This window comes from Homo sapiens, chromosome 16 (assembly GCF_000001405.40).
Source record: "Homo sapiens chromosome 16, GRCh38.p14 Primary Assembly".
In the NCBI taxonomy this organism is placed as follows: domain Eukaryota; kingdom Metazoa; phylum Chordata; class Mammalia; order Primates; family Hominidae; genus Homo; species Homo sapiens.
The window spans coordinates 2,737,076-2,760,821 of NC_000016.10; the positions used below are offsets into that span (position 1 = coordinate 2,737,076).

At 53.8% G+C, this 23,746-nt stretch overlaps 1 protein-coding gene and 1 long non-coding RNA gene across 4 annotated transcripts in view, besides 10 other annotated features; one reads left to right on the forward strand and one right to left on the reverse strand.

Annotated features, from left to right (window-relative positions):
- SRRM2-AS1 (SRRM2 antisense RNA 1) lies at positions 1–15,525 on the reverse strand. 2 transcript variants are annotated; one of them, NR_027275.1, is made up of 6 exons: positions 15,367–15,525; positions 12,470–12,584; positions 6,477–6,644; positions 1,367–1,425; positions 405–535; positions 1–213 (listed from the first exon to the last, which is right to left on the reverse strand). It is a non-coding gene; the product is annotated as an SRRM2 antisense RNA 1 (long non-coding RNA). The 2 variants fall into 2 exon arrangements; NR_027274.1 differs by lacking the exons at positions 12,470–12,584; positions 15,367–15,525 and adding exons at positions 3,883–4,266; positions 7,380–7,722 and having other exon boundaries at positions 1,294–1,425.
- Positions 1,505–2,082: an enhancer, noted in NCBI's record as "H3K27ac-H3K4me1 hESC enhancer chr16:2788581-2789158 (GRCh37/hg19 assembly coordinates)". NCBI's record gives its function as "activates a minimal SCP1, AML or CMV promoter by ChIP-STARR-seq in naive H9 embryonic stem cells {active_cell/tissue: H9 hESC(naive)}" and the evidence as "EXISTENCE:reporter gene assay evidence [ECO:0000049][PMID:30033119]".
- Positions 14,443–15,285: an enhancer, noted in NCBI's record as "NANOG-H3K27ac-H3K4me1 hESC enhancer chr16:2801519-2802361 (GRCh37/hg19 assembly coordinates)". NCBI's record gives its function as "activates a minimal SCP1, AML or CMV promoter by ChIP-STARR-seq in naive H9 embryonic stem cells {active_cell/tissue: H9 hESC(naive)}" and the evidence as "EXISTENCE:reporter gene assay evidence [ECO:0000049][PMID:30033119]".
- Positions 14,443–16,128: a biological region, named in NCBI's record as "NANOG-H3K27ac-H3K4me1 hESC enhancers GRCh37_chr16:2801519-2802361 and GRCh37_chr16:2802362-2803204".
- Positions 14,885–15,054: an enhancer, noted in NCBI's record as "active region_10280". NCBI's record gives its function as "activates an Ori minimal core promoter by ATAC-STARR-seq in GM12878 lymphoblastoid cells {active_cell/tissue: GM12878}" and the evidence as "EXISTENCE:reporter gene assay evidence [ECO:0000049][PMID:35858748]".
- Positions 15,115–15,404: an enhancer, noted in NCBI's record as "active region_10281". NCBI's record gives its function as "activates an Ori minimal core promoter by ATAC-STARR-seq in GM12878 lymphoblastoid cells {active_cell/tissue: GM12878}" and the evidence as "EXISTENCE:reporter gene assay evidence [ECO:0000049][PMID:35858748]".
- Positions 15,286–16,128: an enhancer, noted in NCBI's record as "NANOG-H3K27ac-H3K4me1 hESC enhancer chr16:2802362-2803204 (GRCh37/hg19 assembly coordinates)". NCBI's record gives its function as "activates a minimal SCP1, AML or CMV promoter by ChIP-STARR-seq in naive H9 embryonic stem cells {active_cell/tissue: H9 hESC(naive)}" and the evidence as "EXISTENCE:reporter gene assay evidence [ECO:0000049][PMID:30033119]".
- SRRM2 (serine/arginine repetitive matrix 2) overlaps positions 15,563–23,746 on the forward strand; it is an 18,775-nt gene continuing 10,591 nt past the window's right edge. Inside the window, exons 1-10 of one of the 2 annotated variants that reach the window (NM_016333.4) lie at positions 15,563–15,771; positions 19,259–19,531; positions 20,397–20,504; positions 20,706–20,870; positions 21,395–21,472; positions 21,910–21,972; positions 22,065–22,097; positions 22,277–22,327; positions 22,494–22,586; positions 23,226–23,424. In NM_016333.4, the coding sequence (NP_057417.3) occupies positions 19,290–19,531; positions 20,397–20,504; positions 20,706–20,870; positions 21,395–21,472; positions 21,910–21,972; positions 22,065–22,097; positions 22,277–22,327; positions 22,494–22,586; positions 23,226–23,424 (1,032 nt within the window). In that variant the 5' untranslated portion in view covers positions 15,563–15,771; positions 19,259–19,289. Of the gene's footprint in view, positions 15,772–15,830; positions 16,032–19,258; positions 19,532–20,396; positions 20,505–20,705; positions 20,871–21,394; positions 21,473–21,909; positions 21,973–22,064; positions 22,098–22,276; positions 22,328–22,493; positions 22,587–22,671; positions 23,048–23,225; positions 23,425–23,746 lie in introns of those variants that run through there. The other variant, XM_047433882.1, reaches the window with a different exon arrangement.
- Positions 15,585–15,894: a silencer, noted in NCBI's record as "silent region_7071". NCBI's record gives its function as "represses an Ori minimal core promoter by ATAC-STARR-seq in GM12878 lymphoblastoid cells {active_cell/tissue: GM12878}" and the evidence as "EXISTENCE:reporter gene assay evidence [ECO:0000049][PMID:35858748]".
- Positions 15,915–15,974: a silencer, noted in NCBI's record as "silent region_7072". NCBI's record gives its function as "represses an Ori minimal core promoter by ATAC-STARR-seq in GM12878 lymphoblastoid cells {active_cell/tissue: GM12878}" and the evidence as "EXISTENCE:reporter gene assay evidence [ECO:0000049][PMID:35858748]".
- Positions 16,129–16,971: an enhancer, noted in NCBI's record as "NANOG-H3K27ac-H3K4me1 hESC enhancer chr16:2803205-2804047 (GRCh37/hg19 assembly coordinates)". NCBI's record gives its function as "activates a minimal SCP1, AML or CMV promoter by ChIP-STARR-seq in naive and primed H9 embryonic stem cells {active_cell/tissue: H9 hESC(naive and primed)}" and the evidence as "EXISTENCE:reporter gene assay evidence [ECO:0000049][PMID:30033119]".
- Positions 20,453–21,652: an enhancer, noted in NCBI's record as "BRD4-independent group 4 enhancer chr16:2807529-2808728 (GRCh37/hg19 assembly coordinates)". NCBI's record gives its function as "activates an origin of replication core promoter dependent on BRD2, P300/CBP, MED14 and CDK7 cofactors, and independent of BRD4, by STARR-seq in HCT116 cells {active_cell/tissue: HCT116}" and the evidence as "EXISTENCE:reporter gene assay evidence [ECO:0000049][PMID:35650434]".

The following is a 23,746-nucleotide window of genomic DNA, read 5'->3' on the forward strand; positions in this document are numbered from 1 at the left end:
GCTCGACAAATTTTTGTGTTTTTTTTTAACCCTGAAGTTTACTTTGTTCATACTCAAAATTTAAAATGTGCTGAGCCTGCTGCCCCAGGATGTTCCTGTGCAGGGTGAGCCTCTCATTCTGTGGGGTCCAAGAGCGGGTTCTGCCAGGCCATCTCACAGCTCCCTCCCATGGATGGGTACAGGAGAAAAAAGCAGCATCAGCAGAGGCCTTGCCTGCAGGAGGGCGACAAAAGGCAACAAAAGGAGGGAGGGGGCCTCAGGGTCTTAGAGAGCCGAGCTCCAGTCCTAGCCTTGACCCCAGCCTCCCACACCCATCCTGGGCCTCCCTCTAACTCTCGGGCCCTGCACTGCCCTAGGGACCCCCAGCCAGGCCCTCCCCAGCTGAGGCAGTGCTCTCTCCTGACCTGCAACTGGCTTCTTCCTGATGCCCCACCTATTCCTCGCAAAGCAACCTTGGAGGCAGTAATGCCTGGCACCCAGCTCTTCACAGCCATGTCAGCGTCAGGAGTGACCTCAAAGGCTCTAGAGACGGAATCTGGATGGGGGAAGAATGAACCAGGTGACCTTGGTGACCCCATGCCCACCCCACAGATTGGGCACGTGAGGGACTGTGGGGATCTAGGTCCCACCTGAGAAAAACACCCAGACCCTCAAGATGGCCCCATCCCACCAAACTCAGTGGGGAGAACAGGCCCTGAGCCAATCCCCAGTCTCAGCAGGGGGATGGAGGATAAGGGGTCTGTTGGGTGAATGTGGGAGGAATGAGCCAGGGGATGTCAGTGACCCATGACCTCTGCCCCCCACAGACTGGGGATGTGAGGGGCTGTGTCCCATTAAACACTGGGGCAGGGACCAGAAAAAAACACTGGGACCCTCGAGATGGCCCTGTCCCACCGAGCTCAAGGGGAACAGACCCTAAGGCAGGCCCCAACCCACTCTGCCCTCTGTAGGGATCTCCTGGTGGCCTCAGGGTGGTGACTTTGCCCCTCTGGGCCCTCCCTCCCACAAGCCATGGGGACCACACCCTCCACCCCCAGGCTGGCAGGACAAGCCAGGGGGACACGAGGAGGCTCTCAGAGCAGGACTGGCTGGTGCGGGCCTCACAGTGAGAGCCAGGCATGCTCCAGAGGGGTCTCCAAGCTCTGGGGTCAGGGTCCCTCTGAGTCCCCAGGCACTGCCCCCACTAAACCTGAGAACCCAGCACGGGGATGGAGGCTGGGGGCCTGTTGGGTCCCGTAACATCTCCAGGCCTGTAGCTGGGGACACAGCCTCCTCCATCCATCCTAGGCCCACCTGGTACTCTTCCATCCAACCCCACCCGTGTCCCACTCCCAGCCTAGGCCCTCCCCAGGAGTCTCCTGGTGACCGGAAGCCTCTTTCTGATCTTCTTCACTGGGATGCTGGCCCTTTGGCTGAGCAATATCCCTGGAACCAGAGCGATAGCAAAACACATTATTGACTCCGATGACATACAGATTAGACATTCTCATGGGACAGCCTGGATGGGGGAGGAATGAGCCAGGTGATATCAGTGACCCCATAACCTCTGCCCCCCAACAGACTGGTGACATGAGAGTATGGAAATCAAGGTCCCACCACATGCTGGGGCAGAGACCAGAGAAAAACAGTGGGACCCTTGAGATGGCCCCATCCCACTGAGCTCAGCAGGGAGAACAGGCCCTGAGCCAGGCCCCAACCCCCTCTGCCGGGACCTCCTGGTGACCTCAGGGCGGTGACTTTGCCCCTCTGAGCCCTACTTCCTACAGGCCATGGGGACCGCACCCTCCACCCCTAGGCTGGCCGGAGGAACCAGGGGGACACGTGGAGGCTCCCTGAGCAGGACCAGCTGGTGGGGGGCCTCACAGTGAGAGCCAGGCACAGAGGGAGCTCCAAGGTCTGGGGAACAGTGTTTCTCTGAGTTCCCTGAAATTGCTACCACCAGGCCTCTGTTCTCCCCAGTAGGGGAACAGAGGCTGAGGGGCCCTCCAGGTTCCCTGAGAGCTCTAAACATGTGGCCGGGGTCCCCCCATCTCAGGTGTCCTGGAATCTCAGCCCAGGGGGAAGCATTTTCATCCCCACGCCTTGTCACAGGGCATGTTATTCTTATGTGACCTGGAGCCCCCCGTCCACTGGGGAAATAACCACTGTCCTGCTCCTGTCCTGGGGGCCTGGTGGCTGGAAGTAGTCAGGGCCCGGCTGGTTGTAAGGTGAGATCTTGACCTTCACCCTGGGGCCCCTGAGGACAGGTCCTCTGAGTGTCTGCATGTCCTCACAGGCACAGCTCAGCCACACTGGGAAGAATGCCCAAGACACCTTCCTTTCCTCACATCTGCAATCTTTGCAGGTCCCAATCTTGGAAGGAACACAGCTGGAGGGGTCACCTGGGACCTGAGCCTCCAGGGAGGGTAGCCCAAAGCCTTCTGGCTGCCCCCAGCCCCTTCTCCTTGTGTCTGGGGAGCCTTCCCTTGGCCTCAGCTCCCCGAGTGTCAGAAGTTGCCTCTGCAGGCCTGGGGGAAGCTGCTCCAAGGCCCCTCAGGACCAAGTGCTGGGAGCCATCGTCTCCCAGCTCCCAGCCCTTCCCATCCCCAAGGCCCCTCACCCCAGGCTGCAGCACACCAGGGACTATCACAGAGGCTGTCCTTCACCTGCCCCTCCCACATCCTGCTCTCTGATGGCTCCGATGGGGGAGGCAGCCACAGAAGGCTGGGGCTGAGACCAGGGAAGGCAGCCGGTCCGACCTGGCCCCACCTGGCCAGTGGCTGCAGTCCTTGAGTGCCAGCCCCTCTTACTTCTTCCAGCTTCAGCCCTGCCTGGACTCCTCCCAGGGCCCCTCTGGACCTGGGGGATGGCAACTGCTCTCCCTGGAGTCAGGCCCTGAGCCTCCTCAGCCCCCCTGGCTCCCTGTCACCTGACCTACCTTGCAAACAGTCTGTCCTCTGTGAGTGCCTGCTGCAGATACCAGACCCTAGGCCCTCTTCACTGGCCCCACTGGCCCCCTCACCCCCTGCAGCTGCCCCCATACTGAGCCCCAAGCCTTGGCCCCTCACCCCTCTCCTCCACTCCCCGGGCCTTCAGAAAACAGCTGTCAGTCCCCCAACCCCCGTCCTTGTCCCCCAGACCATTTCTTCTGTGGCCCAGGGTCCTGACCTCACCACTCCCTGCTTCTGCAGAGCCCAAGGCAGGACCTGTGGGTGCTGAGGACCTGCTGTAGGACAAGCTGGGACAAGCCTGAGGCACCTGTCCTGCAGGGGACAGCAGAGCAGGGCCAGGGCCACCCCAGGGAGAGCTGGGTACAGCGAAAGGTGCGGCCTGGCCCTCACCCTGCTCTTGGCCACTACCTCCCCAGGATCCCTTCTTGGGTCCCCTCCAGCCTCACCTTCCTCACCTGCCCTTTCCAGGGGCTGTCCCTGCCCTCTCCCTTTGGTCCCTGTCACCCTTTCTAGAAGGAAAGCTTGATTTCCTCCCTCCAAACAATTCTCTGCTGCACCTAGGCCTGCCCTTGCCTGAGAACCCCAAGCCTCAGCCTCCATCCCCAGAGACTCCTCATCCTTGCCGACTAACCCCGATGTCCAGCCCCGACCATGCACCACCTGTGCTGTCCCTGCTGGAGCGGCTCACCTGTCTGGGGCCCCTGGTGGTCTCCCCACGCTTGCCCTGGGCAGGAGGCTCCCTCTGTTCCATGACTGGCCCCCACACACTCTGACTTGAGTCAACCTGGAGGGGCTGGATAGCGGCTGTTTCCTGGCCCCACCCTTCCCTATGCCAGCAATGGCTTCATAGGGAAGCTGTGGATTCTCTGGAAACACGTGATACGGGCCTACTCTGAACTTTCTTCTCAGGTGATCATGATATTTCATTTTATTTTATGTGTTTTTTACCTACTGTGACATAGAAGCAGTGAGAATCCTCCTGGTTCTAAGGCTCAGGGAGAGAGTGCTGGCCCCTGGGCAGGCTCTCCTCATGGCTGGTGGAGAAGGAACTTGGTGGAGTCCCAGGTGGCAGGGGCAGTACGAGGGACAGAGAGGAGGAGGCATCCAAGACCCCATAATGTCACCAATCAGGAGTGTTAAGAGGAGTCCGAGCTTGTTGTGTGAACCCAGTTTCAGGTCCAGCCCCTGCACCAACCCCTGCCTCAGGGTCTGCAGCCCTCTCCAAACTCATCATTATCGCTGCAGCTGGACTTTTAGTGGAAGAGCCTTCCCTTGGGAGTTCTGTGTCTGGGGCCAGCAGTCCTGGGAGGCCTTCTGGAGGAGGTGAGACTTGGACCTGGGAGGGTAGTGAACACAGGGCAGCCTACGAAGGGCCCCTCGAGGGAAGCTCTGGGAGGGTTGGGGTCAGGCTTCTCAGAGCTCAGGCCAGGGGCAGCAGGAGGGGGAAACCTCAGGGACTCAGGTGAGTTTGTCCCAAGGACTGGGGACCACACCGTGACAGAAAAGCAAAGGAAGCTCCAGCCAATGTCCTGGAGCTCAGATGAAGCCACCTCCTCCCTAACCTAACCCTGACGCTAGCCCCTAGCAGGCGGGTCCCAGGTGGAGTCTCTTGGTGCGGAGAAGCAAACAGTGACACCACAGCAATGGACCCAATGGCCACCCCTCACACCACAAGCCAAGCCACGTGCCTGGGGCTGTTCCATCAACAGAGAAGCTTCAGCTACCTGGGAATGCTGTGTGGCCCACAACCTCCACTGTCCTGGCCCTAGGCACAAAATGAAGCTGTAGAATTCTCAGACATGCCTGGCCAACATGGTGAAACCCCAACTCTAATAAAAACACAAAAATTAGGGCTGGGTGCAGTGGCTCACACCTGTAATCCCAGCACTTTGGGAGGCCGAGGTGGGCAGATCACGAGGTCAGGAGATCGAAACCATCCTGGCCAACATGGTGAAACCCCCATCTCCACTAAAAATACAAAAATTAGCTGGGTGTGGTGGTATGTGCCTGTAGTCCCAGCTACTTGGGAGGCTGAGGGTGCAGTGAGCTGAGATTGCACCACTGCACTCCAGCCTGGAAACAGAGTGAGACTCCATCTCAAAAAAAAAAAAAAAAAAAGAAAAAGAAAAAGAAAAATTAGCTGGGTTGGTGGCGCACCTGTAGTTCCAGCTACTCAGGAAGCTGAGGCAGGAGAATTGCTTGAACCCGGGAGGTGGAGGTTGCAGTGAGCTGAGATCGCACCACTGCAGTCCTGCCTGGGCAACACAGTGAGACGCTGCCTCAAAAAAAAAAAAAAAAAAAAAAAGATTCCTCAGACCCAGGAGGCAGACACCGGCAGTGGGGAGTCCATCCCATGGGGCTGCTGGCCTGGGCTTAGCAGGTGCCATGTCCAAACCAGACTCTAAAGGGCTGGGTCATGGGCCTTGGTAGAGGGCTGGGACACCTGGGGTTGGGGGAGGGCACCATAATCTAATCCTCACAAAGATGCCACTGGAGTGGGGGCCAGGAGACCCAGGGCCTGGACAGACTGGAGCAGTGAGCAGAGGTCTCAGACAGGCTGGCCTGGACCCTCACGATGGCCCCATCCCACTGAGTACAGGCTCCACACCAGATACTGCCCACTCTGCCCTTTGCAGGGACCTGCTGGTGGCCTCTGGGCAGGGACTCTGCCCCTCTGAGTTCTGTCTCCCAGAGGCCTTGGCATCCCACCCTCTACCCCTGGGCTGGTGGAAGGAGCCAGGGGGACACATGAAGGCTCTCAGAGCAGAAGCGGCCGGCGTAGTCCTCACAGTGAGGGCCAGGCACACCGCACGGGGGGTTCTAGGCTCTGGGGTACGAGGTCCCGTAGAGTCCCCCAGCACTGCTCCTGCTGAGCCTGGGATACCAGCCCGGGGATGGAGCCTGAGGGGTCCACAGAGGCCTTTCTCGTGGGAGTGGAAGGGAGGCTTTGCGTTGTCTGTGTTGGAGATCATCCCTCACTCTAGAGCTGTGCTGCAGCCAATACTAGGGTATGGGGTGGCTGTGTTAGGAGGGAGGAGATGATTTCACTGTAAGTGTGCAGCTTATTTAGGAAAAGTGTAAAGCGTCCTCGAAAACTTGCCAGCCAGCTGGACGCTGGGGGAGGCTCTGCTTCTCCAGGCAAGGATGTGGCAATGCCCGACAGGACGGCGGGCCTTCTCCTGAGGCGCGTGGTTCTGCCACCGGCACATCCCCAGGCCTTCGCAGAATGGAGGCCCAGGGTGCACAGAGCAGGGAAAGTGCTGCTGGCCACACCCCCTTGGCCAGGATACCCCCACCCCAGCCCTCTGTGGGTGTCTGGACCAGGATCTGCTCCTCGGAGGACCCCCACAGGGCTCCCACCCTGCTAGTCTGAAATCTGCTCCCTCCTGTACGACCCTGTGACCCTGTCATGGGACTTCATCCCAAGTCACCTCACCCTGGCTCCTCCACCATTAAGGTCCACGGTGTCCCCATGGGCAGCCAGAAGCCATCCAGAGGGTGGGGCATCTGGAGAGTGTTTGGAAAGCCGGGCCCCATTCCTCATACCTCACCAGGTGCCGGCAATGGATACAGATGGAAGCATCCACAGAGCGGCCATCCAGACAGTGGAGGAAAATCTGGATGGATTCCTTTCTGGTTTGGGAGCGGGGAAGGCTTCCTGAGCACCATGCAAAGCCAAGATCATTGCTCTCACTACTTACAAACTGAAATCTTCTGCAACAAAAACAACAAACATCGTTGGTAAAGTGTAAACGGATGCTGTCAACTGGAAAGAAACATTTGGCAGGTCACATGAGAAACAGACCCAGTTTCCTGGATATTTGCAGGCGTCTTGGAAAAAGAGAAGAGGAAGGCCAAAGACCCCAAAGAAACAGAGTGAAGGGACCTGTGATTCCTTTGTGAACACCACTACCCCATGATGAAGGGGAATCGAGGTAGAAGGGAGGATGCCACTGCTGGTTTTCAGATGGAGAGAGTGTCCTGAGGATCTGGGGCCCAGTGTGATCACAAGGGTCTTGAAATGTGCAAGGTCAGGCAGGAGCCTCAGAACATGGAGAGGCAACAGGGGAAAGCCTTGTCCGCCACTACTGGCTTTGGGGATGGAGGCAGCTATGAGATAAGGGTCTCAGGCAGCATTTGAAGCTGAAGGCAAGGAGATGGATTTCTCATTGAGAGCCTCCAGGCAGCAACACAGTCCTGGGGCACATGCGTTCCAGCCGGTGAGACCCCTGTTGGACTTCTAGCCGCAGAACCGTCAGGTCCGATACTGGAGTTTATAGCCACTTGGTTTGTGCGAATTGGCTGCGGCAACCACAGGAACCTCACGTGGGGTCTGCACACACAGTTCACAGGAAGGGAAATTAAAATGACCTCTCATGTACAGAGGATCCTCAGTCTCATAACAGGGAAACGCAAACTTCTTGGGGAGAGAGGCAAAAAGCAACACACCCTGGGCCAGGCATGGTGGCTCATGTCTGTAATCCTAGCATTTTGGGAGGCCGAGGCAGGTGGATCACTTGAGGTCAGGAGTTTGAGACCAGCCTGGCCAGTATAGTGAGACCCCGTCTCTATTAAAAATACAAAAATTAGCCGGGTGTGGTAGCATGTGGCTGTAATCCCAGCTACTCAGGAGGCTGAGGCATGAGAATTGCTTGAACCCGGGAAGCAGAGGTTGCAGTGAGCCAAGATCACGCCACTGCACTCCAGCCTGGGCAACAGGGTGAGACTCAATCTCAAAAAAAAAAAAAAAGGCAACACGCTCTGGCGGCAAAGTTTTGTTGAACAGGCATCTGGGCACTACAGGCAGGGAACAATTAGTACCTGGCTGCAGAGGGCAGAGTGACCCCATTGACCAGGTCACAGATGCATTTATGCTGTGACAGAGATGTCCCTCCGGGCCAGGGCAGCGCAGCATGCTCCTGACACAGCTTGGCCTGTGCCATGAAGAAGGCAGACAGCCACAGGGGGGTTTGTCCAAAGATACACAAGGCATGGGAGAAACCAACCCCAGGCTGACCCACTGGGGTGGGACAGGTAAGGGGGGAAGGGCAGCAAGCCAGACTCCTCCCAACACGCTTTGTATTTTTGAACTATTTGGAGTCGCTCTGTATTGGAACATTTTCTGCTCAAAACACAGGGACTGGTCTGCCATCAAGTAACGGTATTGGAGCCAACCTTCTCTGGGGGCAGATTGGGCCACTCAGGAGCTCACAAGCCCTCCTCAGCCCTGCAGGTACCTGCCTGGAGGGGCCTCTGCACAGGGCATTCCTGGGTGGGCAAAATCAGCCACACTGGCCTGGAGGGAAGCTGGGGAGGGGGGAATTGCGGCTGTGTATCACAGAGGAAGACAGCAGCACTGCCACTGGGGCTGACCTGGAAGGTGCGTGGGGCTCTGGGGTAGACCCAGCCCTGGCACACAGGGCTTCAGGCACTGGAGACCTCACCTAGCAAACCCCGCACACACAGATGGAGACGGAGTCTTTAGTGTACAGGGGTCGATGAGACCCCTGCAGGAGAGGGACTGCATCTTGGCCACCCGTTGCGTCTCAGCCCCCTACTTCCTGCCCCTGCCTGGCTGTGCAAGCTCTCCTCTCCCTACATCTGCCTCCCACTGTTCCTACACCCCAAGTATGGAAAGGTCCCCTCTCCAGGGCCCCCGAGGACTGGAATCCACATTCGCACCTACGGCCTTGAGTGGTGCTGGGCATACAGCCCACTAGACGATCTTCCTCCCTGGTTTAGGCACCTCGGGCACCCAACCCTGCAGAGAGCAACACGCTCAGCTGGGGGACTGAGGACTCCCCTGAGGCTGTGGGTGCTTGTCACTTGCAGAAGGGCACCTGGAGGGATGGGCGTGGGCCCTGTGCCTCCTTGACAGGCCCATAGGTGGGGATTTGTGTGTTGGGACCATAAGCTCTGACTGCAAACAGAATTTTAAAAACCCCACTCACAGAGAGCTAAGCTGACAGCTTCCTAGCTCCCAGAAAGAAGAGCTGAGCTGTGTGAAGGCTGCAGGCACTGTGCCGAGCACTGTCCCTGCTGAGGGGAAGTGCATCGTGTCCTGGCCCACGAGCCGAACCTGGGTCACAAAGGTTTCCACAGGCTCCCGGTGCAGCATTGAGGAGTGGGCGCGTCTGGCTGCGGTCACCAAGCTGGAGCAGGGAAGCTGCTAGGGCTCCTGGATGCTGCCTGGATTTGTCTGCCACCTACCTGCCCCTGGATCTCTGCACCCACCTACTAGCCTGATGACAATGTTGCCTGACATGGTTGGTGCCTTGAGCACCAGGAGAATGCAGAGCTCCATTTTTTTTTTTTTTGGAGACAGAGTCTCACTCTGTCGCCCAGGCTGGAGGGCAGTGGCACGATCTCGGCTCATTGCAATCTCCACCTCCCGGGTTCAAGAGATTCTTCTGCCTCAGCCTTCAGAGTAGCTGGGATTACAGGTGCCCACCATCACACCCAGATAATTTTTGTATTTTTAGTAGAGATGGGGTTTCACCATGTTGCTCAGGCTGGTCTCAAACTCCTGACCTCAGGTGATCCACCCGCCTTGGCCTCCCACAGTGCTTGGATTACAGGCATGAGCCACCGTGCCGGGTCGCAGAGCTCCTCTTTATTCAGTGATTCATGAGTTAAATTAATCATGTCATCAACCAGGTGGGCCCAATTTCATAATTAATGAATTTCAAATGAATTTAACTCATTTCCTGTAGATGGGCATTTAGGCTTTTTTTTGGGGGGAGGGGACAAGAGTCTCACTCTGTCACCCAGGCTGGAGTGGAGCAGCACGATCACGGCTCACTGTAGCCTCAACCCCCCAAGGCGCAGGTGATCCTCCTGCCTCAGCCTCCCGAGTAGCTGGGACTACAGGTGCATACCACCATGCTCGAGTAACTTTTGTATTTTTAGCAGAGACAGGGTTTTGCCATGTTGGCCAGGCTGCATTTTTTTTTTTTTTTAAGACGGAGTTTTGCTCTTGTTGCCCAGACTGGAGTGTAATGGCATGATTTCGACTCACTGCAACCTCCCGGGTTCAAGCGATTCTCCTGCCTCAGCCTCCTGAGTAGCTGGGATTATAGGCATGCGCCACCATGCCAAGCTAATTTTGTATTTTTAGTAGAGATGGGGTTTCTCCATGTTGGTCAGGCTGGTATCGAACCCCCAACCGTAGGTGATCCGCCCGCCTTGGCCTCCCAAAGTACTGGGATTACAGGCGTGAGCCACCGTGCCCAGCCTGCATTTTTAAAATCTGATGAAGTTGTGCCAATAGTGCCTGAACACGGACGTCTCTGAGTGGCTCCAGTCCTGCAGGGACACTCTGCAGAGGCTGCACTGGAGGGGCTCCTGTTACGGCTCCGGGCGCTCTGCAGAGTGGGCTGAGACGTCAGGCACTTGAGGAAGTGTGTCTTTATATATTCATTACTTTATAATTATTAAGTGATGTGTTTGTCTGATGCATCTTTTATGTGTTTTTTTTTTTTTTTTTTTTTTTTTTTTTTTTTTTTTGAGACGGAGTCTCGCTCTGTCGCCCAGGATGGAGTGCAGTGGCGGGATCTCGGCTCACTGCAAGCTCCGCCTCCCAGGTTCACGCCATTCTCCTGCCTCAGCCTCCCAAGTAGCTGGGACTACAGGCGCCCGCCACTACGCCCGGCTAATTTTTTGTATTTTTAGTAGAGACGGGGTTTCACCGTTTTAGCCGGGATGGTCTCGATCTCCTGACCTCGTGATCCGCCCGCCTCGGCCTCCCAAAGTGCTGGGATTACAGGCGTGAGCCACCGCGCCCGGCCTTATGTGTTTTTTTTTAAAGAAGTACTTTTAAATACAAAAGCGTCAAGCTTGGCAGTCATAATTCAATTGGATTTTCATAATTTACTTACTTTTTGTAGTGATGGGGTTTTGCTATGTTGCCTAGGCTGGTCTCGAACTCATGGGCTCAATCAAGTGATTCTCCAGCCTCAGCCTCCCAAGCAGCTGGGATCACGGGTGTGCCATTGTGCTAGGCTTTGAAATTCTGTAAATTTCACTTTGGGAGGCCAAGGCGGGTGGATCATGAGGTCAGGACACGGAGACCATCCTGGCTAACACAGTGAAACCCTGTCTCTACTAAAAAAACACAAAAAATTAGCAGGGCGTGGTGGCGGGTGCCTGTAGTCCCAGCTACTTGGGAGGCTGAGGCAGGAGAATGGCATGAACCTGGGAGGCGGAGCTTGCAGTGAGCCAAGATAGCACCACTGCACTCCAGCCTGGGTGACAGAGCGAGACTCCTTCCCAAAAAACAACAACAACAAAAAAGAAACTTTGTAAATTTATGACTGTAACCTCTTTCAAAGAGACTAGGAATCTTAAGAAAATAAAATGGTGCTTGGCCGGGCGCGATGGCTCACGCCTGTAATCCCAGCACTTTGGGCGGCTGAGGCGGGCGGATCACGACATCAGGAGATCGAGACCATCCTGGCTAACACGGCGAAACCCCCTCTCTACTAAAAATACAAAAAATTAGCCGGGCATGGTGGCGGGCGCCTGTAGTCCCAGCTACTCGGAAGGCTGAGGCAGGAGAATGGCATGAACCTGGGTGGCGGAGCTGGCAGTGAGCCGAGATCGCGCCACTGCACTCCAGCCTGGGCGAAGGAGCGAGACTCCGTCTCAAAAAAAAAAAAAAAAAGAAAGAAAATAAAATGAGTGCTTTTCTCTGTTTGTTTTTCAGAAATGGGAGGTGGTGGGGGGAGTCTCACTATGTTGCCCAGGGCTGGTCTTGAACTCCTGGGCCTCAAGCATCCCAAAGTGCTGGGATTACAGGTGTGAGCCACCACACCTGGCCCCAATTAGTGCTTTAAAAGCTCTCTAAACCCTTACATCACAAAGAATATCCCTCCTCCCCCTCCAGAAAAGAAAGGGGTGGCTGGACAGTATCGACCTCACCAGATGTGCTACACCAAGGCCAGAAAGAGCCGCTGAAGTGGCTTGGACATGGGCCATGCCAGCTGCACGTGGAAGGCCATTCCTCCCGGCACTCATTTCCAGTGTTTCATATCTGCTTGTCCTGGGTACAGGAACCAGGGCATGTTTCAGAGGTTCAGAGCCAAGTACTTTTGGGGTCTGGGTACTGCACAGAGAGGGCCCAGGCACTTGTTCTGCTTGCCGTGTGCCCCACCATGCCTGCGCTGAGGACCAGCCTCAGTCCATCCTGCCCAGAAGGCTGGGAGCACACATGGGGCCTGGAAGCCAGAAGGCCTCTCAAGAGACCCTGCTTGCAGCCCTGTGGGAGGGGTTGGATGGGGGCTGGGGTCTCCAGATAAAAAGGTAATTCGAGAAACCCTCCCAGGCAGCTGGGAGGTGGGAGGCTATGGCATTAACCCCAGGGATTGTCCTTCCTGAAGGTCTGGTCTCCCTCTGGAGGGCAGGATGCTTTTGCAGACATCATCCTCACCCCCCTACCCTGTTCCCATCCTCCCTAGCACCTGTCCTGGCTGGTAATTGTCTAGTTATTTGTAATGTAAGCTCCAGGAAGCCAGTGTGCAAATGGGAGGTGCTCCACTCACCAAAGGCTTCCCAGTCTTGGGCCCCAGGCCAGGGGGGTCTGGAGGAAGGCTTGCACCACAGGGTCCTCCACCAGGCCATGGAACTGGAAGCTGAAGGCCCACACAAGGCCACTGCCTGGGAGAACAAGCATAGGCAAGTGTGCCCGTCATGGACTGTCACAGAGCGGAGGGAAAAGAGGCCACGGGAAGGACCAGCCTTGGAAGGCCCAACAAAGGAGTTGTGATGTCAACCTGAGGGTGTCTGGAAGAGTTTTAAGCAGTTCAGAAGTTTGCATTTTAGGAACATCACTCCGAGGTGACAGCCGCTAGGATGTCAGCCATGGCTGTCTCTGGGGGTGGTGCCCCTGTGTGCTTTTTTTCTTTTTGCTGATTTGTATATTTCCTGCAGTGAATGTGGTTTACCTGTGCATGTCACTTTCCTAGGGCTGCCATAAGTCACCACGAACTTGGTGGCTTCAAACCACAGAAGTGGGTTCCCCTACAGCTCTGGAGGCCAGAAAGTGGAGACCAAGGTGTGGACAGGGTTGTGCCTCCTCCAAAGGCTCTGGGAGAGGATCTGCAGGGCCTCTCCCAGCTTCTGGCTCCTCCTGGAGATCCCTGGCATGGGCACCGCTCCGAATCTCTGCCTGGGTCTCCTACGGCCTCTTCCCCCGGGTGCCTGTGTCCTCTTGTCTTCTTGTAAGGATGTCAGTCATTGGATTTACGGCCTACCCTAAATTCATGATGATTTCATCTTCAGATCTTTAACTCAATTACATCTGCAAAATCTCTTATTCCAAATAAGGTCACCTTCCGAATGTCTAGGTGGTTGTGAAGTTTTGGGGCACCACCGTCCACCACACTACAGTGAATAAAAAAATAAAGTTTAAAGGGAAACTAAAAAATCATTCTAGGGCTGGGTGCCATGGCTCACACCTGTAATCCCAGCACTTTGGGAGGTTAAGGGGGGAGGACAGTTTGAGCCCAGGAGTTCAAGACCAGCCTGGGCAACACAGGGAGACACAATCTCTACAAAAAACTCCACCTCTACTAAAAATAAAAAAATGAGCTGGGTGGTGGCGTGCGCCTGTAATCCCAGCTACTTGGGAGGCTGAGGTACAAGAATTGTAGTGCGTGGAGATCGTGCCACTGCACTCCAGCCCGGGGTTAGGAGTGAGACTCTGTCCCAAAAAAATAAAATAGACAAAAGACACGAAGAGAAATTTCTCCAAAGATGTACAAACGGCCAACAAGCACATCAAAAGATTCTCAGCATCATCAGTCATTAGGGTACTGCAAACCATGTTTTGTCACTATTCACGGGCATTAAATGTGCTGACTCACGCACAAAACATTCCATAAAGAATATCAGTGGGGGTACAGGAAAGGGTCTCACTGGAGGTGCTGGGGTCTTTAACCAGAAAGGCAAAGCCTTTGCCACTTTACTATGCCACTCCAGAGTTGCGGCCGGCTTACAGAAGCACCGTCCATAGATGCAGAGTTCAGACACTCCAATCTGCGATCAGAGCTCCTGCAGGAGATGGGGGTGGTGGGGGGGAGGGTCTCCCGGCTCTAGCATCTGAGATAAGTACATCCTCCCACGGGCAAGTGAAAAACAAATCTTAAAGCCGGATACGGGCCGGGCGTGGTGGCTCACGCCTGTAATATCAGCACTTTGGGAGGCTGAGGTGGGCAGATCACCTGAGGTCAGGAAATCGAGACCAGCCTGACCAATATAGTGAAGCCCCGTCTTTACTAAAAATACAAAAATTAGCCAGGCGTGGTGGCACACGCCTGTAATCCCAGCTACTCGGAAGACTGAGACACGAGAATCACTTCAACCTGAGAGACAGGTTGCAGTGAGCCGACAACACACCATTGCACTCCAGCCTGGGTGACAAGTGCGAAACCACGTGAAAAAAGAAAGAACAACAACAACAACAAAAAACAAGGGCCAGATAGGGTGTCATGCACGGGTAGTCCCAGCTACTTGGGAGGCTGAGGTCGGAGGATCGCTTGAGCCCCAAATTCGAGAACAGCCTGGGCAAAACCCTGCCTCTTAAAAACACCCCCAAATCGTAATAACAAATATAAATCCTTGCACTCAAATGGACAGTTCATTACGTGGTACCGCGTCCTGTTGCGGATCAAGGCCACCTGAGTTGGTTAGGACAGCTAAGCGGGACGTCCAGGGCTGCTCGCCAGCGGTGGGTCTAGATATGAACTTGTGCTTGAGCAGCCCAGCGTCTTACAACTCTGCTGTGAGGACGGCTGGCTGATTATCAGGCCCAGAATCACGGGCTTAGAAACATTAACAGGAAGTACGGTACCGAAAAGTGGAAACTTTAAGGTGCTTATTATTTTCCTCCTGCCTTGTTCCTGTATGTGCCGCTTCACCGGTATCACGTCCTGGGTCTGGTGGGACCCCGGCCTGGCTGCCCTACCGGAAGCTAAGAAAACTCCTCCCCCAGGGGTGGCCGTCGGGCCTCAGCCCGGTCTACAGCGGGAGAACGTGGCCCATGCTACGGGTAACTGGTTGGGCCCCTGGTGCAGGTCTAGGGCCTGCAGCCAGGCTCGGGGCCTCCGGGGGTGCCCGCTGGCTGGGGTCTGAGGCGGCTTCTCTCGGGTACGGGAAGGCGGACTGCTGTGCAGCTGCGGGCTCGCTCGGGAAACCCAAAGTCACACGAAAGCGGCAGCACCACCGCGGCTGGGATATCGTCTCCCAACATGGGGAGACAAAATGGCCGCCACGCCCCGAGCCGAAATTACATCCGGGCTCCGCGACACGCCCGAACCACAACTCCCAGAATGCTCTGCATCGACAGCGGGAGACGAGACGCGCTCGGGCGTCGCTTTGCTGCCGCTAGGCCCTGTGCTCCTCCCCGCAGCGGAAGGCCTACGAATACGCGGTGTCTTACGTCGCTTCCTCCGTTCTTCGTTGCACTGGCCAACGGGACGCTTAGTCTTTCGGCAACGGGGTGAAACCTTCCTTGTGCCTGAAAAAACGGTACTTCGCGGTGTGGCTTCGGCGCCTGCGCAAAAGGCCGCGGGGCGCACTCCAGTTCCCGGCAGGCCCCGCGACGCGCGTTTGCGTGCTGACGCACGCAGTTAGTCGTGCTGACGTGCAGCGCGGCCCAGGCGGGGTGCGAGTGGCGCAGTTGGAGCCCGTTGCGGCCCCTGAGGAAGCGAGGAGGCGTCGGCGTCGGCTGAGGCGGGCGGACCGGCGAGGCGAGGCGGCGGCCCCAGGCCCGAGGGACTCGGGAGCTCGAGCAGCGGCGGCGGCAAGACCTCTCCCCCTCGGAGGCGGCGGGCGGAGGCGGCGGGTGAGAGGGTGAGGGAGCCAGCGAGCCGGGTGGGGGAGGGGCGGCGGCCCCGGCGCGAGGCCAAAGCGCGCGGAGAACTGCCCAGGCCGCCGAGCTCCTCCGCGCGCACGCGCGCTCGACGCCCTTCGCTGGCGCGGACGCCCTCGCCTCCCTTCCCCCTTCCCGCCGTTCCTGTCGCGCGCGGGCTTCACCCCCCCCCGCCCCTCCCCCATGACAACGGCGTTCGCAGCCGCCTGTACTCGGGTTCGCGAGCGCCCTTGGTGAGGGGGGAGGGCGCGCGCCTCGGCTTCACTCCTCCCCCCAACATGTGCCGCCGAGGTGGCCTTCCTGCAGCTGCCGTTTTCGGCCCTTAAGTGGCGGGGAAGGGGCGGCGGCGGGGGGCTTGCTCCTGGACCCTTGCCCCCGGTTCCAGATCTCCTTTCCTCGGGCTTCTCTTCGGCGTTGGGCTGCCCGTGTCGGGGGCCTCCCAGACTGCGGGACGCCGCGCAGCCCCCTCCCCCATTCCGCAAGGCCGAAAATAGGCCCCCGGCGCTGCGGGGAGGGCCTTGAACTTCGTGGGCCGGATTTAAATGGTTTAGGATTCCCGGCTATCAGCCTTTGAGTTGTTAGTGGCGGGGAGAAACCCCAAATCTTAAAAACTGTGAAGAAAGTGAACGTGTTCAGTTTACATTTGTAAGGTAGACCGTGCGTTCCCTTTTTACACTTTTTCAACGTCTCCCGAGAATTCGTGTTCAAACTAAGGAGGCTTTTGGAGACCTTCGTTGGGAAGAAAACGCCAGACTCATATATAAGTTTTCTGGTTGGTTTCAGGCGTTCTTTGGCACACAGCTCTTCTGAAGCTTGGTTTCCACTCGGCTTCAGTTAGGACGAATCTGGATCAGAATTTCAGAGTGTTGTGTTGTCTTTCATCCTAAGTGCGTGGGCTTAGGGCTCTTCTAAAGCTACTATTTTAGCTTTCTGGGTTCTTTGTGTCCACTCAGCCGCTCTGGAGCGCCCCGGTGCTGAGCTGGCTGTGCTTGCTGATGTCCATTTTTTTCGACAACCCTTGTCTCCCCTTTTTCTCCCCTTTTGGTACCGTTTTCTTTTTTGCATATTTTACTGTTGAATTCAAATATATCTTTCTACTTCATTGTTAGCTTACCACTCGGATAATTTCCCAACAGAAAAGGGTGTTTTTGTCTTCCTTTGTACTTTTTACTTTCTGCTTTTAACTTGGGTAACTTTTGCATATCCACTGTCTATGGCCCCCACTTTAAGAGTTTTGTAATATCGTTTGGTTTGGTGATTTGTGTGTGGTGTTGATCTTCCTACTTTCTGTGTCTTAACACACCCCTTAGATGCCGTGGGGTCGTCGTCTTTTTTTGTGGGGTGGACTAGGTGGCTCATTCCCTAAAAGTTCTCCGAAACATTGTGACCTAATATCCTTTGCTTAGCACCTACTGGTTTTTCTTTTTTTTTTTTTTCCGAGACGGAGTCTAGCTCTGTTGGCAGGCCGGAGTGCAGTGGCGCGATCTCGGCTCACTGCAACCTTCCGCCTCCCGGGTTCAAGCGATTCTCCTGCTTCAGCCTCTGGAGTTGCTGAGATTACAGGCAATCGCCGCCGCCCAGCTAATTTTTGTATTTTTGGTAGAGATGGAGTTTCACCGTGTTGGCCAGGCTGGTGTCAATCTCCTGATCTGGTGATCCGCCCACCTCGGCCTCCCAAAGTGCAGGTGTTACAGGCGTGAGCCACCGTACCCGGCCTGGTTTTCCTTTCTTAAGGAGTGGGGGGATTTTTGTGTGAGGTGGTATGGAAGTGTGGGTGAATGGTTAAGCTGAAGAATTAAGTGCAGGTCAAAAACATGCTGCAGGGGAAGCAGAAATTAAGTGGGGTAGGGGAGAGGCGAAGAAGGACCTAGTTTTAAACCGTGAGGAGGATTGGTACTAGAAGATGAAAATGAGGATTGGGGTGTAGAGAAATTGATTTTTTGAGCCATACAGTTTTTCATTTTTTCCTGGATTTCTGCTTGCCTTATCCAGGTTTAGCCTCTTCTGTCACCTTCTGCTTTCAATATTGGGTCTGCTACTGGGCTTGGGTAGGGACCCATCCTTAGGCGCATGCGCTAGTATATTTTTCCAAACATTTGTATGATGCTTCTTCATTCTGGAATTTTCTAAATGCATCCTTCCCTTCTATCCAGTTCTTTTACATCTTTGATTACTCTCTCCGCTTTACGTATTCCTTAGGGTTTTTTCTTAGTAGTATTTTCTCATATATGCATGTTCTAGGAAACTATCTTGGAGAGGATGAGGGTGAGAAAGAGAGTATATGTAATAGGAGAAAGGAATAGAGTATGTGTAGCCAAGGAATCTAACCAGGAAAGCTGGGACTTGAGAATTTTTCAGAATCACGTTAGGGTTGGGACAAGTTGAAAGGCTAGAACCTGGGAGGAGGCATGGGGTTAACACAGGAGAGAAGGAAGAGGCAGGGCTGAGAGAGAAAAACTAGGAAGTGCTATCCAGGGGATTGGTGGGGAAAGCCAACGGTTGGACATTAATGAAAGTGGGGTGTAGAGAGGGTTTCTACATAGATTTAGGGCAAGGTATATGGAGAAGGTATGGGAACGGTTGGAACAGAGGAGGCTGGTTTGATGTGTTTAAATAGAGCAGAGTTGAAAACAGGTAATATTTGACAGCTGGCAAGACAGGGAGGAACTGCAAATTGTTGTAAATCCTATTGAGAGGAAGGAAATTGAAGGAATAAAATATCAGGATAGTTGATAGGATCTTTAAATATTTGGAATCAAGGAAATGGCCCTTACCTGGGAGGTGAAGTATATGACGATTATCCAAGGTTCATGTGTGTTTCTGATGTGCATGCTGGCCTTTAGTTGGGGTGTGAGGCTGCACATTCTGAACCAACTAGTCTGCTGTTCAGATACCTAGGGGCTGTGTAGTTTATTTCATATTCGTATAGGGTGGTCTGAAATCCTTAGGTAAGTTTTTGGGAGAGTCTTTGGACATGGACTAGAGGCCGTTGGGTGCCACAGATCTGTGTCTGGTGTTTGTTGTGACCAGGAGGCTTTGGTTGGTTACCAGAGGTTAGGAATTAGAGTAGTTGGTAAACACACCACTTGTGCATTTTGGGGCCAAAGGAGAACAAAAAGGGACAGTGTGGAGAGATTTTAGAGGAACAAGATCCTTGTTTGCCTAGGGTGGAAAAAGAAGAAAATTTAGGTGTAGGGAGGGATTATTTAGAATTCTGTGCAAGGGCATTGAGAGAAAGGCTGTAAGAACTGGGCTGTGATTTGGTAGAAAGGAAATTTGGAAGGGCAAAGAAGTGGTTTTCTTGGGAGACCAGGAGGATGGTGGAGCATTATACAGCGAAGACTTAGTGTGAAGATCAATGTTGAATTAGGGATGAAGGAGAGCAGGGACTTGGGTGTGGGGCGGTAAGTGGTTAGTTTGGGGCCAGGGGCCTGACCCGTGTCTCCCCGCTCCCCCTCAGGAGCGGTGGTGCCCCCCCCGGGCACGGGGCCATGTACAACGGGATCGGGCTGCCGACGCCCCGGGGCAGCGGCACCAACGGCTACGTCCAGCGCAACCTGTCCCTGGTGCGGGGCCGCCGGGGTGAGCGGCCTGACTACAAGGGAGAGGAGGAACTGCGGCGCCTGGAGGCTGCCCTGGTGAAGCGGCCTAATCCTGACATCCTGGACCACGAGCGCAAGCGGCGCGTCGAGCTGCGATGCCTCGAGCTGGAGGAGATGATGGAAGAGCAGGGGTGAGGGAGAGCTGGGGGAGAGTCAAGCACTGAATGAGTGCAGAGCTGGGGGTGTTAGGTGGGATGTATAGGGAGCTTAGGGTGGTTGAAAGAGGCCTGGCAAAGAGTTGTGGTAGGGGAGGAGGCAGATGAGCTCTAGAGAAGTGAAAACAGTTAAGGGACAGTGCAGAGTGGGAAATGAGAAGGCTGTGTGTCTGGGGCATAGATGGGAGCCTGAGGTACTAAATGGAGGCACGTGGGAGAAGGGAGGGGCCATTGAGGAACAAAAATGTGTTTTAAGGAAGAGATGGGAAAGCAGAGACCAGGTAGAGGAGCTAGGTAAGCTGATAGGTGTTGTCATTGGTAGAAAAGAAGAAGATAAATGGATGTAAGGATTGAGGCCTTGGAAAGTAGCATAGGCAGGAAAAGAGGAATTAGAAGAATACGTGAAGAAGTGGGAATCATGGGCTGGGAAGGGAAATTTTGGAAAAGGAGCCCATTAAGGCAGAAAACTCTTTTAGAGCAGTGGTTTTAAACTTCAGCAATGGTGATCCTTTTATACAGTATCCCTTACTTTGGAATCCCAGGAAGTAAAAGGCACATTCTTGTTGAAGTTGGGGAGGAGCACTTGGAACCCTGCTTGCTTAACTTTTTTCTTTTGGTCCCTGAGGTGTAGCATATTTAAAATCCACTGTTCTAGAGGGAGTAGTAAGTAGAGGGAAGAAAGATGATGGGAAAAGATCAGACAGAAGGGACTTTTGGGTGAGCGAAAAGTTCTGTGTGCGCATGGAGAGGGAGGGGCCCCTTTTGGGAATGAGGGAAATGGAAACCTGGGACTGGGGAAAGTGTCCTGTCGAGCTTAACCCTGAAGGGATTTGTTCTTCAGGTACGAGGAACAGCAAATTCAGGAAAAAGTGGCGACCTTTCGACTCATGTTGCTGGAGAAGGATGTGAACCCTGGGGGCAAGGAGGAGACCCCAGGGCAGAGGCCAGCGTGAGTGTTGCGCTCTCCCTCGATGACTCTGGACTCTACTCTGGCTGCTGGCTGCTGCTGCTGTCCTTTTCCTTACGTGGGACTTCCTCCCTGCTTTCGTCTGCCTTTCCCATGCCTTATTTGGCTCCTGCTTATACTTGTGTTCTGAATATGGCTCTGTCCTTTATATTTCCTTCAGACTTTTGCCCTTCTTTTCTCTAGGGTCACGGAGACTCACCAGTTGGCAGAATTAAATGAGAAGAAGAATGAAAGACTCCGTGCTGCCTTTGGCATCAGTGATTCTTACGTAGATGGCAGCTCTTTTGATCCTCAGCGTCGTGCCCGAGAAGCTAAACAACCAGCTCCTGAGCCTCCCAAACCTTACAGGTATACAAGGCCAAGAAACCACTGTCAGCTTCTTTTCTTGATTGTAAGCTCCATGCTCTATTTTTGTCTTTTTGCGGGCTGGTTTCTTCCCAAACTCTTCAGATTTTGTTCTTCTGAAGTTGAGGTGTCCAAAAAAATGTGTCCAAGGGTTAGTCACAGTGGGTCACGCGCGTAATCCCAGCATTTTGGGAAGCTCAGGCAGGAGATCACTTGAGGCCAGGAGTTTGAGACCAGCCTGGGCGATGTAGTGAGACCCCATCTCTACAAAAAGAAAAAAAGCTGGTTGGTGGCACATGCCTGTAGTCCAGGCTGCTTGGAGAGGTGGAGGCAGGAGGGTCTTTTGAGCCCACAAGTTGGAGGTTACGGTGTGAGCTGTGTTGCTGCCACTGCACCCCACCTGAGGCAACAGAGCGAGACTCTTATTTTTTTATTTTTATTACTATTTTTTTAGACTCTGTCTTTTAAAGAAAAGAAAGGAATGTTTGTTCTACCACCCATCTCTGCTGCTTTTCATTTTTCCCTAGCCTTGTTCGGGAGTCTAGCAGTTCTCGCTCACCAACCCCAAAGCAGAAGAAGAAGAAAAAGAAGAAAGATAGAGGACGGTAAGTTAGTTGGAAAGTGACTCTGATAGCCAGAGGACCAATCCTGTGGTGTACCTTTCTCTCTGGAAGTGGACAGTTCTGGCTTCCACAAAGCAGGAGATAGTTGTCAGGGAGGAGGGAGTTACCATTGAGGCCTCAACTAGAAGAAATACCTGAGTTTCTCAGTGGGGAAGTGTTGAGTTTGCAGTTCTGCTAATTAAGATTGGCCAGCAGCATTTTGGATTCTGGAATTTTCTTTTTCATTTTGAGGTTTGTTGACTTAAGGAGTTACTTGTGCTTGTTGGAGAAAGAAGAAATAAGTCCTGGGCTTAGGTCTGGGGCATTAGTGCTATTAGGACATTCAAGTGTTTTAGAAACCTTTTTAGGAGAGAGATTGTAAGTGGGAGGGCCAGGAAAGAAGCCAAGCAGGATGAGCTTGCTTTTGAATCCATCTTTAGCAGGTCAGAGAGCAGCTCTCCTCGACGGGAGAGAAAGAAAAGCTCAAAGAAGAAGAAGCACAGGTATGAGGTGGGAATACTTGAATGACTGGAGAAGGTTTGCTGAATTCAGGCAGAGGTGTTTCTTATGTTTTTTCTTCTCTTTTTTCCAACAGGTCAGAATCTGAGTCCAAGAAACGTAAGCATAGGTAAGAGCTCTTTAACTCATAGGGGGCGCAGTGGCATGTGGAGTGGTGATTTTTTTTTCTTGGAGTGAAGCTCAATTCCTTGATCTTCCTTGTGTCAACACTCCCTCTTTCCATTTCACTTTTGGTTTTATTTCCTTTTTTAAAGAAGTTACTTTTAACAACCTTTCCTTATTTCCCAGGTCTCCCACTCCAAAGAGCAAACGTAAATCTAAGGACAAAAAGCGAAAGCGGTGAGTGAATTTGTGGGGAATTTGCTTAGGAAGTAAGTGAACGCCACCTTAGTGGGAGGGAGTTGAATGAGTTATGTCCCTGACTGGTAAAGGGTTGAGGGATACGTGAGGAGAATCCAGGGCAGGTACAGCAGTACCCTGAGCTGTGGTGGTGGTCTTCCTTCAGGTCTCGAAGTACAACACCAGCCCCCAAGAGCCGCCGGGCCCACCGTTCAACTTCTGCTGACTCTGCTTCCTCCTCCGATACTTCCCGCAGTCGGTAAGGGGTAGTCCAGGAGGAAGGGAGGGAGAGGGAATGATGGGTTAATTAATTTAATATTTATTGAGCGCCCACGGTGTGCTAGGCGCTGCACAGACCATTCGGAAGACACGGTCCCTGCCCTCTAGGAGCTGACAGGCTAAAGCAACAGGATGGACAGACATATACATTTCCCCTTCTCTTTTTTTTTTTGTTTTTGTTTATTTGTTATTTTTGTTTCGTTCTGATGTATATGGACTGCCAGAATAGGGGGGGTGGTGGTTTGTTCGTGGTGTCTGGGGGAGGAAGGAATCCTTACCCTGGCTTCCTTAATCGGGGAAGGCTTCCTGAAGGAGGTGGGCTCAGAGGTGAGTTGTGAATGAAGCGGGTAGGGAGTGGGCTGGGTGGATGGTTTGGGGATGTTTGGGGGAGGTGAGTAAAGGGGTAGAGGGAGAACGCTCTTTGGGATTGTGTTGGGAAAAGAAGAACCAAAGTGGACTGTACTTGCATTTCAGTGAATGATTTGAGTTGTGCGACTAAAGGCTTTTTGGAAGAGGGTTGTCCAGTTAGGAAAGGTGGATGGGAGTTGGGGAGGGGGTTTTCTGTTCTCCCTTTGAGCTGATTTCCTTCCTCTCCCACGTCCTCAATTAACTCCTGCAGGTCTCGAAGTGCTGCAGCTAAAACTCATACAACTGCCTTGGCTGGGCGAAGTCCTTCCCCTGCTTCAGGGCGACGCGGGGAGGGAGATGCGCCTTTCAGTGAACCAGGTACTACCAGCACACAACGGCCTAGTAGCCCGGAGACTGCTACGAAACAGCCTAGCAGCCCTTATGAAGACAAAGATAAAGACAAGAAGGAGGTATGTTCCTGAGTTGGTGATGTTCATTGGATTGCAAATGTATAGATTTAGGATAGACATGTGATGTGAAAGGGAGAGGTAATAACTTATTAAAATAAATAAATTCAGTTTTTTTTCCTGCATTTCTCTCCTAGTTCTCTTACTGCATCTGCAGAACTTTTAGTGTTGTTACTAGACTGAATTGTGAACCCTTTAGAATCAAATCTCACTGGATGTTAGGTTTTATATTGTGTCTTGTTTATACATAGATAGAACTGGAACAAACGTTGTATCTTATCTGTGTACTCCGTATGATGCCTCTAGTTTCTTCTCTTTTTTCATT